This window comes from Homo sapiens, chromosome 14 (genome assembly GCF_000001405.40).
Source record: "Homo sapiens chromosome 14, GRCh38.p14 Primary Assembly".
Lineage (NCBI taxonomy): Eukaryota > Metazoa > Chordata > Mammalia > Primates > Hominidae > Homo > Homo sapiens.
In genome coordinates, this window is record NC_000014.9 from 77,178,538 (window position 1) to 77,195,616 (window position 17,079).

Below are 17,079 nucleotides of genomic sequence, written 5' to 3' on the forward strand. Positions count from 1 at the left end.
TGCCTCAGCCTCCCAAGTAGCTGGGATTACAGGTGTGAGCCACCACACTTGGCTTCCATCCCCCTTTTCTGTACCTCTCTCTCTGTCTATTTTTTTTTTCTTTTGAGACGGAGTCTCGCTCTGTCGCCCAGGCTGGAGTGCAGTGGTGCCATCTCAGCTCACTGTAAGGGTTACTCAGAGTCCTTTTGTTTCTTTTATATTGTTCTGGATTATGTTCCCAGACCAGACATTGGAGGTTAACAACGCGGTCATGAAGACAATAACAGGCATAATCTTTCAGATTTGACAACTCAGGCCAAAGGCACTCCCACCCCAATCCACAAGTGAGAGCATGATAAGTGTTTTCAGTGTCACAGACCAGAAGGGCCTTTCTTTTGAAAGCCTCAGTTATTCATACCCATACACCTTTACTGAGAACCTTCTACAAGCTGACACTCATCTAGGTGGTTGGTTGGGACATTGGGGTCATCTCTTTCCCCACCACACAGCCCACCTGGCATCTCCATGGGTTCTCCTCCTTCCATGGGTTCTCCTCCCTTCCTTCCCTTCCCTCCCTCCCTCCCTCCCTTCCTTCCCTTCCCCTTCCTTCCTTCTTTCCTTCCTTCCTTCCTTCCTTTCTTTCTTTTTCTTTCTTTCTTTCTTTCTTTCTTTCTTTCTTTCTTTCTTTCTTTCTTTCTTTCTTTCTTTCTTTTTCTTTCTTTCTCCTCTCCTCTCTTCCCCTCCCCTCCCCTCCCCTTCCCTCTCCTGCCCTCCCCTCCCCTCCTCTCCTCTCCGATGTAGGTCTCTCTATATTGCCCAGGCTTGTCTCAACCTCCTGGCCTCAAGAAGTCCTCCTGCCTCAGCCTCCCAGGTAGCTGGGATTACAGGTGTGAGCTACCACACCTGGCTTCCGTCCCCCTTTACTGTATCTTTCTTTTTTTTTCAAGACGGAGTCTCACTCTGTCGCCCAGCTGGAGTGCAGTGGTATGATCTCAGCTCACTGCAACCTCCGTCTCCTGGGTTCAAGTGATTCTCCTGCCTCAGCCTCCCAAGTAGCTGGGATTGCAGGTGCCCGCCACCACCCCCGACTAATTTTTGTATTTTTGGTTGAGACTGGGTTTCATCACATTGGCCAGGCTGGTCTCGAACTCCCAACCTCAAGTCATCTGCCCGCCTCAGCCTCCCAAACTGTTAGGATTATAGGCGTGAGCCACCACACCTGGCCTCTCTTTACGGCATGACCTTGATGCTTATCAGGTTTCTCCTCTAGGAGGTGGAGTGGGTTGGATATGGGCTTACAACAGCTTCTGTGATGATGAAGCAGAGAAGGAAAAGACGAACTGCTTTTGTTGAGAATTTATGCTGTCCCACCAGACTGTGAATAGCATAACTACAGCAACAACAATGAATATTTGCAGAGCATTTATTTTGTACATGGTATTTCATTTAATCCTCACAATCACCCTTTAAGCTTATGATTATTGTTTTCCCCCATTTTCCATATGCCAAAAAAAAAAAAAAGCACAGAGAGGTTAAGTCCCACATTTAGGTGGCCCAGCTGGGACTGAAATGCAGGCAGCTAGCGTTCCCAGCACTATTCTTGTATTGATCTGATTTGTCTTTGTACCCGCCAGCCTTTATCCTAGAAGAGAATAAAGGTGTCAGAGCAGAGGGGTGTGAGACCTCAACTAGCCCAGCCCTCTCAGAATTACAGATGAGAGGGAAAAACAAAGAGAGATCAAGTGAGCTACCCAAGGTTGCACAGCATGATAGCCGCTAAGCAAGGGCTGGAACCTAGACCCTGATGCCCTGTTGCCACTGCAGAATACGTGTTCAAAAGTCTTCCCGTCCCGTGAATGAAAAAGATAATGAGTGGGCCGGCGCGGTGGCTCACGCCTGTAATCCCAGCACTTTGGGAGGCTGAGGCGGGCGAATCACGAGGTCAGGAGATCGAGACAATTCTGGCTAACGCGGTGAAACCCCGTCTCTACTAAAAAATACAAAAAAAAAAAATTATCCGGGCGTGGTGGCGGGAGCTTGTAGTCCCAGCTACTCGGGAGGCTGAGGCAGGAGAATGGCGTGAACCTGGGAGGCGGAGCTTGCAGTGAGCCGAGATCACACCACTGCACTCCAGCCTGGGCGAGTGAGTGGATAATGGATAGACTTCGACAGAGTCTGTCTATGTGGCTCACCCTTGGGTCTTCGTGGGGTGGTTGGGTCATGAGAACCAGGGGGTCAGGGGAAGAGGGAGATGACTAGAGTGCGCCAGCCTGATACGGTTGTGTGGAAGGGGGTGCTGTGCTGCTGGTTATGGGGAAATCAACCCATGAAAGCATAACCAGCCTTTGACCCCCTCCTCTGGCACCTCATGACCTTGTGTTCACAGGGCTTCCTCTATGGCATTCTTATCATATTGTTAACAGCCCTAACTGGTGAAAGGGAGTCACTTTCAGAGAGCATTGGGCAGTGGCTTCTTTCCCATCAGCTATTGTACTGCAAGTGCCAGATAATGTCGATGACATAAATGTGCCTAGGCCCCTGCCTGGGAGGGAGAGGCTGTTTACTACTGCCCCTTGTTTTGCACACTGGTCTTTGGGGGTTGCAAACACTGGCACCTGTCCTCGGGGTCAAAACCAGTGTCTATAGCAGAGTGGGCAGGACTTTGATGAAACTCTGATACCTGCAGGATTGTGGCCCACCGCAAACCGGAAATGACCCAGCTCACTCCCTTGGCCCTCCCTGGTGGGGCTGTGGCCAATTGTAGATCACTCCTTTGCTGTAGAAGGAGTCTGGGTAGCAGCTGGGTACCAGCCACTAGGCTGGTGCCAGGACCTGGTCCTTGGGCGGGGCAGAGGGCTATCTTTGTGGGAGTGGAGTGGCTTTTCTTGCTTCTGGCTGATGGGACTAAGGAGACTGGGAAAGGCGACATGCCTCAGGGAGGGCGAGGGGAGGTGGCAAAGGAGCTGCCAAGGCCCAATGCATCAGGGCAGCTGGAGCAAGCTGGAACCAGGGACCGGCAGCCTTGTGTGTTTGAGATAGTAATTTGCAGATGGTTCCTGGTAGCGACAGGGTCTCTGAGGCGGAGCCTGGGTCTTCGCGTAGGATCTGCCAGCCTGGGTTCCCCGGCAGGTCAGAGAAGCTTTGGGGCGGGGCCAAGGTTGGCCCCTGCTTGGGAGGAGCCGGGATGCCTCTCTCACAGTGATGCAGAGAGGAATTTGCTGACAGTCCCTTGCCAGGTGGGGCTGGCTTCGCCCAGCCGGCGAGGAGGAGGACCCGCTGGCAGTCTCCTCCCAGGTGGGGAGCGTGGAGCCTGTCACTGCAGCCTGGCGGCCTGAGCGCCGAGCCTGGGGCTGGGGCCGCGGTGCTGAGGACGCAAATGTGGTGAGCACGCGATGCGGGTGCGGTGACCGGGGCTGGTCGGGCCGGGAAGAAGGGGCGCCGGATCCAGGTCCCGCACGGGGAGGGGGCGGGGAAGGATTGCTTGTTTCTGTGCTTTCTGAGACCTTGCATTGGGAGGGATGGGGGTAGGGGAGACTGCGCCACAGTCCCTTGCCACGCTGGCTGTCTCTAGCTTGTACCCAGGAAAGGGTGGCCTGAGCCGCCCACCCGGGAGGGCGTGGCTTTAGTAGACCGGTCTTCACTGGGTTGGGGGAACGGAGGTGGGTAGGAGGTTTGCTTGGGGGGTCCCCGGCCTCCTGCCTGACAGCCAGGTGGGAGTTACCGCTCGGGGCTACCCTCTCCCCCACCCAGGGATTCCCCGGGGCTCTGCCGCCCACTCTCTGGGCTGGGACGGGAGGGGGCAGTCTGCTCCGCCGTTATGGGTTATGACAACGTCACTGCTGCGCTGCTGCCTGGCGGGCTGGGCTCCTGGGCCCCCAGGGGAACAATGCCACCCTTTCCCCATGTGCTTCCAAAGAAAGGCTCTTGCCTCCCTACTCGCCCTGGCCTTGAGAGAGGAACGTTGTGTTTGGATGAAGGCCCTGGGGAAACTGAGGCCCAGGGGTGCTGTGGCTTGACCAAGGTCACTGAGCAGGCCCTACAGAGCTGGCCTCCCAGGCACTGCCTTCACCGAATGCCCTCTGGAGGGGCAGGGGCCCTTCTTCCTCTCTAGACCCCAGGACCTCCCCCCACCCCAGCACCCCATTTCCTCATCCCTGAGAATGCAGGGAGTTGCAACTTCCGCATGGGGCTCCAGGGTATCATGGGTGTAAGCAGCAATTAGATTGTCTGGGGACAGGAGAAAATTGCTCATGAAAAACACCTAAGTGAGCAGAGGGGGTGTGAGCGTGTGCTGTTCTTGTGGGTTCAAGGAAAGAATGAGAGTTGGCTTTGAGGAGAGGAAGGCCCGTGCTGATGGGAATGAGGAGATGAACTTTCTCCTTCAACAGCCTGCAGCGCTCCAGGAAGATGTGTTTTCCCTCAAGAAAGGGTCCATCTCTTAGCACCACCCTCTGTTATCACCTTATCCTTGTTCTCTCTCCGGCCCCTGTCCCTGGGAGAAATGGGCTACATTCCGTCTATTGCCCTTAGAAGTGAACTTTCCCCTTAGAAGTGAATTCACCTTGTTCTTCTCCCTGGGACAGATGACCTTCCCTGGAGGGAAACTGAGGCAAGGAGAGAGCGACATTTTAGAGCCAGAGCCAGATGAGGAAACTGAGGCACAGAGGGTGGAGTGAGTTCTCCAGGTATCTTACCTACATGCAGGTCTTCTGACTCCCCAGCCACCAAAGGGCAGACTGGAGGGGCCTCTTCCTGTCTTCTCTTCGCACCCCACAGTCCCAGCGCTGAGAAGCTGAGGCTGCAAGGGCCTCCTGATGGGTGTGGAGGAGGTCGGTGACAGGGAACAGCACCAGCATTTTCTCCTCCTTTAAGATATGTTTTCTAGTTTCTTGGGAAGGAAGCAGCTTGAAGACGGGAAGTGAAGTCTCTTGGTTACCTTCCCATCATGCCCCCACAGGGATACACAATTTCTGTGGGCCTATCGGAGCCAAAAACAGGCATCCCTCCTGCCCGAGTGCCAGCAGCTGTGAGCATAGCCAGGGAGTGGGGATCCACAGGTAGAGGGACTTCATTTATCTCCCTGACAGCATCTCCGGATCGGGGGTTTGGGCCAGCACCGGTTTACTCCAAGTGAAAGGAGTTGCCATGTGCCTGGCTCATGAATTGCTCCTTTTCAGACACCCTCTGAGCACAGAACCCCTGACGCTGGCCCCTGCTGGCTTCACAGGAGCCTTGGGTTGCATGATGACCACCAGGAGCTGCTGGGGTGACCTGTGGGAAGGGATGGGGTTCCCAGTAAACCAGATGAGAACTAGCTGCTTGTGGGGTGACAATATAGCACCAGAGAGGAGAGGGCCCACCATACTGGAGGGAAACCACATGGTATGTGTCCCTCCCAGCTAGCAGAGAAAGGGTCAGGCCTCAGAGAGGCCCCGTGGTGAGAACCAGACTTAAAGAGCAGAGAGCTGGACCGAGTGCCTCTATCGGCAGGCACTCTGCCCTCAGCATCTCTACCTGATAGCTAGGCATGAAAACACCTTCTCCAGATGGGTGGGAGGGCTTTGGAAACTTGTCAAGTGTTTATTACAAATGGGAAGTATTATTCCTGGAGTCTCTGGTCTAGGTGGAAGCCATCTGTTTCCTGCCTTGATGGGGGAAACATGGTCATTTCTTCTTCAGAGGATGCTCTCTCCCTCTGCGGCCAGCCTAGGGCATCCTTCTAGGCTGGGAAGGCAGGTCAGCCCTCCCCAGCCCGCTTCAAGTTGTGCTTGGGCCCTTGAGGAGTTTCATCCCCTCCATCCCCAGCTGCCCATTATAGTTAACATATTTAACAGGATGTTCACCCCCGAAAATGCAGGTGTCTAGTGGCACCGTGGAGCTTCCTACAGGCCTGTACCCTCCCCACTGCCTCAACTCTCGAATTCCACGACCTCTGCTCTGATTCTTCCTGGGAAGAGGCGGGTGGAAGAACCATAAAGATAATGGGTGTAAAGTGCTGGGAGCTGTTTGCACAGAGCGTCCAGTTTGCAGGAACCCACGTGGTGCTCAGGCCATGGGCAGGCTCACACTGGGAAAGGCTGTAATGAAAGTGCTCAGAGGAAGTGCTCAGCTTCCAGTGAGATCAGCAGCTTTTAGTGCCCTGTTTTGCCTGAGGTGGGGCCCCAATGCTCACTCTTCTTTCCTCTCGTGGGAGAGCAGTGGTTTTCACAGCTTACACATCAGCATGGGTGGTGTAAATGGAACTCCACATTCTTGCCCATGAGTTGGCTGGTGCAACTCCTGCAAGGTAGGGTTACAGGAGGAGCTGAGATGAGAACGTGGGCAGCTCACGAAGTATGGTGTGTCCTTGCTCTAGATCTGTCTGCATTGCTTAGGCCCAACTGAGGGTGGCTCTTAAGAAGAACAACGTGTGGCCAGGACTCCATGTTCTGTGTTTCTAGGGCAGGATATGTACTCAAGCTGCCACATTCCTTGCCAACACCCCTGGGGCTGGTGCTGAGACATGCAGAGGCAGAGTGGGCGGGGAAGGGGCGCCTCATTGTCACCTCCTGCCTCCTTGTAGTCATTAGTAATGCTCCCCAAAGGGAAACCGAAGCATAGACCTGCTTAGAAAGCTAGGACTAGGACCCAAGTGTCCTGGGCTCCCACCTTCTGCTTTTCCCAGCCTTTCACTCTGCCATTTGACACGAGCACCCTCAAGATGAGATGGGAAGAGCTGGGCTGGAGGTGAGTGAGTCATGCCCAGCCCTGTGCCTGTAGACCTTCATTCCTGCCAAGCCAGGGCCTCTGGTGTCCTTAGAGGATCAGAGGCAGAAAGATCAGCTTCCAACAGGAAACCAAACTGTCCCCTCCCCATTACTGAGTGGCCTGGCCAAGGAAGGTCCTGGAGGCAGAAGCCTTCTCCTCACTCTGGCTGAGTCTTCTCAGAGTTGTGCCCAGCAAGGTGCATGCTGGCCTCAGGCCATCGAGTCCCAGCAGAAGAGCAAGTGACCCTAAGGTCTTTGGAGAGATAGGTGGGCAAGATGGAGCTGTGGCCAGTCCGCTGGGATACAGCTGTCCATTGGGTTTTGGGTGTTGAGGACTCATTGCCTTAGGGTGTCTGAGTGGCAGTGATTTGGCCATAGGGTAGAAACACTACAGAGGGCAATGGAACATGCACCCAGGGCCCTGTGGGGAAATCAATCCTGCTTTGATGGGGGACATGGAAGCACAGAGGACCTGTCATACATGGACACGCTGCCTGGGGGAGTACTTGGGAGCTGCGTTCCCACCTATTTCATTACCTGCTCACTTCACTTCCGTGAGTCTTCCATTTGCAACATGGTGAAGCAATCCCCTCCACACAGAGCCACTGGAAGGATGAATGGGAGGAAGCGGAAAGGTGCCCAGCTTGGGGCCTGGTGACCAGGAGTCCCCTTCTTTCCATTTGCTCGTCCCTCTGCTTGCTGAGTGGCCAGCTGTCCAGGGACCCCTGGGATGGCGACCATGTTTTGTTGTTGTTGTTTTTTTTTTTGAAACAGAGTCTCGTTCTGTTGCCCACTCTGGAGTGCAGTGGCACTATCTCGGCTCACTGCAACCTCTGCCTCCCAGGTTCAAGCGATTCTCCTGCCTCAGCCTCCCGAGTAGCTGGGATTACAGGCGTGCGCCAACACGTCGGCTAATTTCTTTGTGTTTTTGGTAGAGACAGGGTTTCGCCATGTTGGCCAGGCTAGTCTCAAACTCCTGACCTCAGGTGATCCACTCATCTCAGCCTCCCAAAGTGCTGGGATTACAGGAGTGAGCCAACGTGCCCAGCCAGACCATGCTTTTTTGATGACACCAAACAATGTTCAAGAATGGCTGACCAACAATGTCGACTGCTCCAGGCACTGTTAGAACTGAACTGTCACCTTCAAAAATGCTTCAGGCCATGCATGGTGGCTCATGCCTATAATCCCAGCACTTTGGGGGGCCTAGGAGGGAGGATTGCTTGAGCCCAGGAGTTCAAGACCAGCCTGGGCAACATAGAAAGACCTTGTCTCTACAAAAAAGTGAAAAAATTAGCCAGGCCTGTAGTCCCAGCTACTCAGGAGGCTGAGGTGGGAGGATCACTTGAGGCCAGAAGGTTTAGTCTGCAGTGAGCTGTGATTGCACCACTGCACTCCAGCCCAGACGACAGAGCAAGACCTTGTCTCAAAAAACAAAACAAAATAAAAAATCAAAAAGGCTTCTCACATCCCTGAGGACCTGGCAGAGGGGGAATCTTCTCAGAACCAAAGGGGTGTGTGTGTGTGTGTGTGTGTGTCTGTGTGTGTGTGTGTGTGTCTGTGTGTGTCTGTGTGGTGTGGGCAGGGAGTGTCCTTTCATACAATGAGCAAGCTGTTGCTGGACCAGGGATCCTTCCTTGGCTGGCGCCTCATGTGCCCAGGCGTGTCAACTAGGCCTGGCTTGGGGAGACCTTCTCAGGCAGCAGAAGAACAACAGCCTGAACAATAAGCCTGGCTTGAGGCCCTGGAGCCACTCAGCAGCCTCACATTCTCTGTCATTACTCTTTAATCCTCTCCACGCCTTGGGAGAGAAAGCAAGTCTGAGTCACCCGCTCAATAGGTAAGAAAGCTGTGGCTTGAGAGGTTGTGACAGCTGCAACCACACTCACACACCAAAGCAGCAGAACCCAAACTGGGGCCATGGCCAGTCTGTGTCCAGGGGAGCCATCTGTGTGCCGTCCTCCCAAGCACAGCTGACACATCCTGAGCTCACCTCTTACTGCTGGGGCTGGTGGTTTTGCTGAAGTTGCTTGAGACGAAAAGACTTGGAAGAGAAGGTCGTGCGTTTCTCCCCTTCCCCTCCACTCTGGGCAGGGCGCCCAGAACCAGATTCTGCTGAAGGACATCTCGAGTCACGGGAGCAGGGAAGGTAGAAGGCTAGGATTCCCACCCCGCCCCCACCAGGTTCCGAGGGGCTGAGCCGAGGCAAAGGAAGGGGACTCGGCAAGGCCAGGCCCAGGCTCCACACTCCATGGAGGGGCTTCTTGGGGCCCTGGCCCAGGCACATACATGCAGCTTGTGCTGCACGGAGCAGCCAGGGAGGAAGGGACAGGAAGCCCCTGGCCTGGGTCACAGAGCTGCCAAGTGGAGGAGCAGAAGGAGCCCCAGTCCCAGCACCCTCCTGTGTGGCTGGGGAGAGAACCCAGACCATCGCAGCCCTGATCTGTTCCCAGAGACAGAGGAAGGGAAGTGAGTGGGAAGAGCAGGCTTTCTGACCCAGCCCTATCCCAGGGCCTGGTGTCCCCGTGACTCTGCCTGCTTCCCCTGGGAGTTACCTTTGAACCCAGCTCTGACCCAGAGCCTGCCATTGAAGGCTCATCTTGGAGTAAGCCCAACCCATCTTCTCCAGTGAGGCTCCCTTCCCACATGCTCTGTTCCCACTCAGGGGTTATTTGTGTGTGGGGCGGGGGGATGTGTCAGATGCCCTTGAAGTTTTTGCAAAATACACATGCCTGGCTTTTCTGCCCCATCTCACCCCAGCTCGGCTAAGAACCATTGCTCTGGCAAATCAAACGTGCCCTGGACTGTCTGAGCCACTGCCTCTCCCCATCCCAGTCCTGGTCCTTATCCCTATCCTCATCTGTTCATCTTCCTGTCCGTCAAAGCCCAATTCAAATGCTACCTCCTTGATGAAGCCCTCCCTGGATCTCAGCCAGATGAGATCTTAACAGCCTTGAATGCCCTTAACACTTTGAGTCTATCTCTTCTGCTAGAAAGGACTTCATCCTTTCACTTTTCAAGTGTTCTTTGAGTGCCAGTCACACACAGGTCCTCCAGTAGTTCATGGGGAATGGTGTGGGTAAACAAGGAAATGGCTTAATGACAATAGCTTGAGAAAAATAATAACATTCTGTGAAAATAGCAATACAAAGCTCCATGAGACATTCTGGCAAGAATGCTAGTAAAGCCAAATGTGTATATGCTTTATGACCAACGATTTCACATCTAGGTATACATTACCTAGAGAAACTCACACATGTGCATAAGGAAACAGCTCCAAGGGTATCTAGGGCAGCAATGCTTGAAATGCAAAAAAGAGGTCTTGGCTGGACTCTGTGGCTCACGCCTGTAATCCCAGCACTTTGGAGGCCCAGGTGGGAGGATTGCTTGAGCCCAGGAGTTTAAGACCAGCCTGGGCAACATAGCAAGACCCTGTATCTACTAAGAAAAAAAAATAGCCAAGTGGGGTGGTGTGTACCTGTAGACCCAGCTACTTGGGAGGCTGAGGTGGGAGAATTGCTTGAGCCCAGGAGTTTGAGGTTTCAGTGAGCTATGATTGTGCCACTGCACTATAGCCTGGGCAACCAAACAGAAAAAAAAAGACAGACCTCAACCTCAATATCTGCAAGAATAGAATAATGAATAAAACTATGATACTGTGCAGCAGTTAAACTATGTGTAACTGGGGAGTTTTATTTTTTATAAATTATACCTTAGCAAAGTTGATATATGTGTACATACACATATGGATACATCCTGTATTAACATGAATAAATTTCAAAAACAATGTTGCAAAAAAAGGAAATTGCAAAATAATACCATTAAGTGAAACTTTAATTTTCTTTTTCTTTTTCTTTTTTTTTTTGAGACAGGGTCTTGCTTTGTTGCCCAGGCTAGAGTGGAGTGGTGCGATCTTGACTCATTGCTGCCTTCACTTTTCAGGCTCAAGCGATCATTCCACCTCAGCCTCCTGAGTAGCTGGGACTACAGATGCACACCACCACACCCAGCTAATTTTTTTTTTTTTGCATTTTTTGTAGAGATGGGGTTTTGCTATGTTTCCCAACCTGGTCACAAATTCCTGGGCTCAAGTGATCCACCCATGTGGGCCTCCAAACGTGCTGGGATTACAGGTGTGAGCTACTGTGCCTGGCTGAAAATTTAATTTTCGCAAAAAACACAAAACTGTACTAGCTATGATTTATGGATTTACTAATTTCTGTTGCAATGCCTACCAAGATCATGTGTGTAGTGCCTTGGAGAGAGTAAGAGCTGAGACTGAAAGGGGAAAAGGAAGGACTTCTAACTTGTCAGTAACACTTCATTTAACAAAGAACAGCTGAAGCAAAAATGACGGAATGTTTACATTTGTTAATTCAGTTGGTTTAAATGAATTGTTCAAAGTTGAAGAAAAGTAATCTGAGATGTCTATGGAAAGGTGCTGACATCTCCCTGGGGAGTCAGGAAAGGGTCCAAGAGGAGGTGACAGCTGGGTGTGAAGGACTCAGGGAACTGGCAGGTTTCACTGGGGTGGGGGAGTTGGGAAAAGCAGCCGTGGGTGCTTAAAGCCAGGGAATACCTGTGCCGGCTCTTTGCACGTCTGAAATGTTTGTTGACTGACTTTGTATCAAGCTGTCCCTCTGCTGCCCTCTCATCCCCTTCTCTGATTTCAGCTGTTCTATTTCTGAGTTGTGTACATAGTAAATAGGGTCCTGGGGGGAAAATCATGTGTCATTTTATGATTTTTTAGAGATGAGATAATCTAATAGGGGTTAGGAGAGGATTAGAGGCAAATATACAAAATTGAACATTAAAATGGGGAAATAGTCACTGATACAGAGAAAATAGAATTATGATTATTATTATTATTATTATTGGTACTGTGTTTGGCCATATGTAAATCCAGTTGAAAACTAGCTGAAACTGATGATTTTTTGGGAAAATGTAAATCATCAGTTTGACATCAGGAGAGGTAGAAAGTCCCAACAGACCAATAATCACTGAAGAAACTGAGTTTTCATAAAATTCTCCTCCAAAAAAACTAAGGTTCAGATCACTTCTAGTTTCTATCAAACCTCCAAGGCACAGATAATGCCAATGTTATTTAAACTGCACCAACTACACCAAATCACAGAGAAAGAGAGATTCTAAATTATTCTATGAAGCACGAACAACATGGATACCAAACCTTGACAAAGATAGCACAAAAAGAGAAAAATAACTAAAAAATCTTATGAATAGTGGTGCAAAATTCATAAATAGCAATAAATGGACTCACAGCATTATGTTACAAAAATGAACATACCACAAGCAAGTGGGGCTGTATTCCAGAAATATAAATTCCATAGTAGAAAAACTATTAATGTAATTGAACAAACTAATAGCTCAAAAGAAATAAAAAATCATACAAGGAACTTCATAAGTGCTAAAAATGTCTAAAATGCATTTGATAAAATTCAACATGTCTCTGATTTTAACTCTTACTTCATAGGAATAGATGGATATTGCTTAACATGATTTTGTGTATGCCTATGTGTGCTTGTGTGTGTATTCAGACATAAACACACACAAGGAAAGAATAATCATGACTGTAATTCTTTAATACCACTCTAGAGGTACAAGCCAACACAAATTTTGGAAATGTAAGTTATAAAAGTGCTAAATTTATCAAAATTGTAGACGGTAAGATTGCCAACCTGGAGAAAAAAGAACAAGATTGTCAACTGAAAAAAAATTAGAAATAATAAAAGAATATACCAACATGATTGGTAATAACTATTAGAAGCAAAAATATATAGCTTGTTTGTATATAAACAGACTTTAACCTTTTAAATATAATGGAAGAAATTGAAAATATCAGTAAAAGGGCTAAAATAACCAGTACTAAGTCTAACCAGAGGTGGCAGGAGCAGCTCTTAAGACTACTTCATTCTTGATTCCCTGGCACTTGGAATAGGGCCTGACACATAGTAGTAGATATTTGTCAAATGATGGAACGGCTTCACAGACTGATAAACAAAGCACACCTAATATGCAATAATAATAGTAGTAAACACCACCATATAGTAGTTCCTCTGTGTGGCCACTGTCCTATTCTTTACCTGTAGCCTAAGGTGTGAGCTATCCTGGAGAATGTTCCGTATGTGCTTGAGATAATGTATATTCTGCTGCTGTTTGGAGGAGTTTTTGCATATGTCTATTAGGTACAATTGGTCTATAGTGTTGCTCAAGTTCTCCATTTTTTTTTTCTTTTCTTTCTTTTCTTTTTTCTTTTTCTTTTTTTTTTTTTTTTTTTTTTTGAGACAGAGTTTCGCTCTTATTGCCCAGGCTGGAGTGCAATGGTGCAATCTCGGCTCACCACAACCTCCACCTCCTAGATTCAAGCATTTCTCCTGCCTCAGCCTCCCAAGTAGCTGGGATCACAGGCATGCGCCACCAAGCCTGGCTAATTTTGCATTTTTAGTAGAGATGGGATTTCTCCATGTTGGTCAGGCTGGTCTCGAACTCCCGACCTCAGGTGATCCGCCTGCCTCGGCCTCCCAAAGTGCCGGGATTACAGGCATGAGCCACCAAGCCTGGCCTAGTTCTCCATTTTCTTAGTGATATTCTGTCTGGTTGTTCTATCCATTATTGAAAGGAGTACTGAAATCTCCAATTATTATTGTGGTGTGGTCTATTTCTCCCTTCAGTTTTGTCAATATTTCTTCATATATTTGGGTGCTCTGCTGTTAGGTGCATATGTATTTATAGTTGTTATATCTTCCTGGTGAATTAACTCTTTATCATTATGTAATAGCCTCCTTTGTCTTTTGTGGCAGCTTTTGACTGATATAAATACGGCCATCCTTGCTCTCTTTTGGTTACCATTTGCATGGAATGACTTTTTCCATCCTTTCACTTTCCACCTATGTGAGCCTTTACATCTAAGGTTCAGCCTCTTGTGGGTAGCATAGATTAGTTGCATCTTTCTACACCCTTTACCTGTAATAACTCATTTAATCCTCACAATAACTCCATGCAGATGGCGTTACTGTTACCTCCATTTTTAGATGAGGAACCTGAGGCACAGAAAGGGTAGGCAACTTATCCTAGGTCCAGTAGAGTGGAAATTTGAACCAAGCACTTCACTCTGAGTTTATGCTCTTTGTATCCATCCTCCTACATAGTCAAATCGGAATTTTGAATTTAGAGGGAGGATTGTTGGGTAGGGGAGCAGGAAATGGATTATTCAAACATGACTTTAGGACAACTGTGTAGCCCTTTGAAAAAAATAATAAAGTTGGGCCCTACCACAATCCCTACATCAAAATAAATTCTAGAGGGGGCAAAGATATTTTAAAAAGAAAGAAGAAAGCCAGGGGTGGTGGTGCGTGCCTGTAGTTGCAGCTACTCGGGAGGCTGAGGCAGGAGAGTCACTTGAGCCCAGGAGTTCAAGGCTGCAGTGAGCTATGATTGTGTCACATAAGTACTCCAGCCTGGGCAACAGAGTGAGACCCTGCTTCAAGAAAGAATAAGACAAAGACGAAGGAGGAGGAGGAGGAAGAGGAAGAAGAAAAAGAAGAAGAGGAAGAAGAAGAAGAGGAGGAGGAGGAAGGAGAAGAAGAACAACAACAACAGGAGGAAGGAGAAGAAGAAAAGGAGGAAGAAACCTTTAAGAATACAAGTTGAAAATATGGGCAAATACTTTCATGATTCTCAAATGGGAAAGGCTTTTTAAGCAAGTCCAAAGGATGCCATAAATAAACTCAAAAAGAGATGAATGACAATTTGCAATACACATGACAAGAAGTAAGTTGCCTTAATTTAGAAAAACTTCTTTAAAAATCAATAAGAAATTAGAAAGGATGGACACAGACAAGTCACAGAAAAATAAGTGCAAAGGCCATTCAGTCAATAAACATGAAAATACGTCTGTCTTTTTTGACAACCGAATTACAAATTGAAACAAGATACCATTTTTAAACTCACTGTAAAAATCCAACAATCTGATAATGCACACTTGTGAGGGTATGAGTTGCTGGGGCAGAGCAAACTGGTTCACCCTCATTGGAGGACAATTTGGCAAAATGTTAGGTTCACATAAGTTTTGACCCAGGGATATCCTCTAGCTGGCCTCATATATGTGCACAAAGATATAAAGTCAAAGATGTAGGCTGGGCACGGTGGCTCATGGTTGTAATCCCAGCACTTTGGGAGGCTAAGGCAGGCGCATCACCTGAGCCCAGGAGTTTGAGACCAGCCTAGGCAACAAAGTGAGACTTCATCTCTACAAAAATTAAAAAAAAATTTAGGCCTGGTGAGGTGGCTCACGCCTGTAATCCCAGCACTTTGGGAGGTCGAGGCGGGCGGATCACCTGAGGTTGGGAGTTTGAGAGCAGCCTGACCAACATGGAGAAACCCCGTCTCTGTTAAAAATACAAAATTAGCCGGGTGTGGTGACGCATGCCTGTAATCCCAGCTACTCGGGAGGCTGAGGCAGGAGAATGGCTTGAACCCGGGAGGCAGAAGTTGCAGTAAGCAGAGATTGCGCCACTGCACTCCAGCCTGAGCAACAAGAGCGAAACTCCGTCTCAAAAAAAAAAAAAAAATTAGCCGGGCATGGTAGTGGGCACCCGTGGTTCCAGCTACTTGAGAGATGGAGGTGGAAAGATCACTTGAGCCCAGGAAGTTGAGGCTACTGTGAGCTGGGATCGTACCACTGCACTCCAGCCTGGGCAACAGAGTATGACGCTGTCTCAAAACAAATAAACAAGAAAAAACAAAGATATTCATTACAGAGTATGATGCTGTCTCAAAACAAACAAACAAGAAAAAACAAAGATGTTGATTACAGCTTTGCTTGTGCAGCAAAAAATGTAGAAATAACCTAAATATCAATCAACAAGGACAGATTCACAGAAAGTGTAGTGCATCGGTTCAGTGGAACACTATGAGCTATGAAAAGAATGGAGGGATCTGTCTGTGCTGGTATGCAGAGATGTGTGATGTATGTTAATTAGCAAAGCAAATATAAGTACTGGGAATATGTTCCTGGTTGGGTTTAAAATAAAGATGCAGGCATAGATATATATATATGTGTGTGTGTGTGTGTGTGTGTGTGTGTGTGTGTGTGTGTGTGTGTATGTTCATATTTCTGAAAAAAATTCTCGAGGAAAATTTAGGAAATGATACTTATGTTGGAGAGTGGGGCATAGATCTGAGATGGCAGGGACATCCATGCCATATTTCTTTTTTCTTTCTTTCTTTCTTTCTTTCTTTCTTTCTTTCTTTCTTTCTTTCTTTCTTTCTTTCTCTTTCTTTCTTTCTGTCTTTCTTTCTTCCTTTTTTTGGAGACAGGGTCTTGCTCTGTCACACACGCTGGAGCGCAGTGGCACTATCATGACTCACTGAAGCCTCAACCTGCTGGGTTTAAGTAATTCTCCCACCTCAGCTTCCCGAGTAGCTGGGACTACAGGCGGACACCACCACATCCAGCTAATTTTTTTTTTTTTGTACTTTTTGTGGAACCGGGTTTTTGCCATGTTGCCGAAGCTGGTCTCTAACTTGTGGGCTCAAGTGAACCTCCCACCTCGGCCTCCCAAAGTGCTAGGATTACAGGTGTGAGCCACCATGCCTAGCGTGGATTTCGTTTTCATTGTGTATTATTTTGAATGGTTTGATTTTTTTCCCCCTAAGCATGTTATTTTCAGAATTTAAAGAGCATATTTAAAGCTGGGCATGGTTGCATGTGCCTGTAATCTTAACTATCTAGGAGGCGGAGGCGAGAGGATCAATTGAGCCCAGGCATTGGAGACCAGTCTTGGCAACATAGTGAGACCCCATCTCAAAAAAACAAAACAAACAAGAATATTTAAGAAGAAACAAATTATAAAGGGGAGAATACCAGTTAAAATGCCTCACCCTGAACTTTGTTTTTAAATTCGTTTCTCAGTGGGTTCACCTCTCCTTGCATTCACAATTTCAGATGTGGGCGGGCCCAAGAGTTCACCGCCAATCTTTATTTTATCCATGAGGAAAATGAGAGCTAGAGAGGATTGAGCAAGCTGCCGGGGCTCCCTGGCTAGCTGGCTGCAGAGACTGGGCTCCTGTGATGCTGCTTTCAGGAAAGGGACCGATGATCCCTTTATGTGGATTATAAAATCATCCTTGGACTTTTCTGCCCTTTCCCAGTGTGTCATCTACTGAGTCTTACTTCATGGGCACCCATGTGGGGAACTTGTTAAAATGCAGGTTCCCAAACACCCTCCTGGAGATTCAAGTTCAGTGGGTCAAGGTAGCGCCCTTCCACCTGCATTTTAGCAAACCCTCCCCTCCTCCTGCAGATGATTCTGAAGTGGGTGATGTGTATGACCCC

At 48.6% G+C, this 17,079-nt stretch overlaps 1 protein-coding gene across 1 annotated transcript in view, besides 1 other annotated feature; it reads left to right on the forward strand.

Annotated features, from left to right (window-relative positions):
- Positions 1-3,260: 3,260 nt before the first annotated feature.
- TMEM63C (transmembrane protein 63C) overlaps positions 3,261-17,079 on the forward strand; it is a 77,698-nt gene continuing 63,879 nt past the window's right edge. The window contains exon 1 of the mRNA NM_020431.4: positions 3,261-3,357. The gene's annotated coding sequence lies outside the window, so the exon portion shown is untranslated. The remainder of the gene's footprint in view (positions 3,358-17,079) is intronic.
- Positions 3,582-3,711: an enhancer, noted in NCBI's record as "active region_8796". NCBI's record gives its function as "activates an Ori minimal core promoter by ATAC-STARR-seq in GM12878 lymphoblastoid cells {active_cell/tissue: GM12878}" and the evidence as "EXISTENCE:reporter gene assay evidence [ECO:0000049][PMID:35858748]".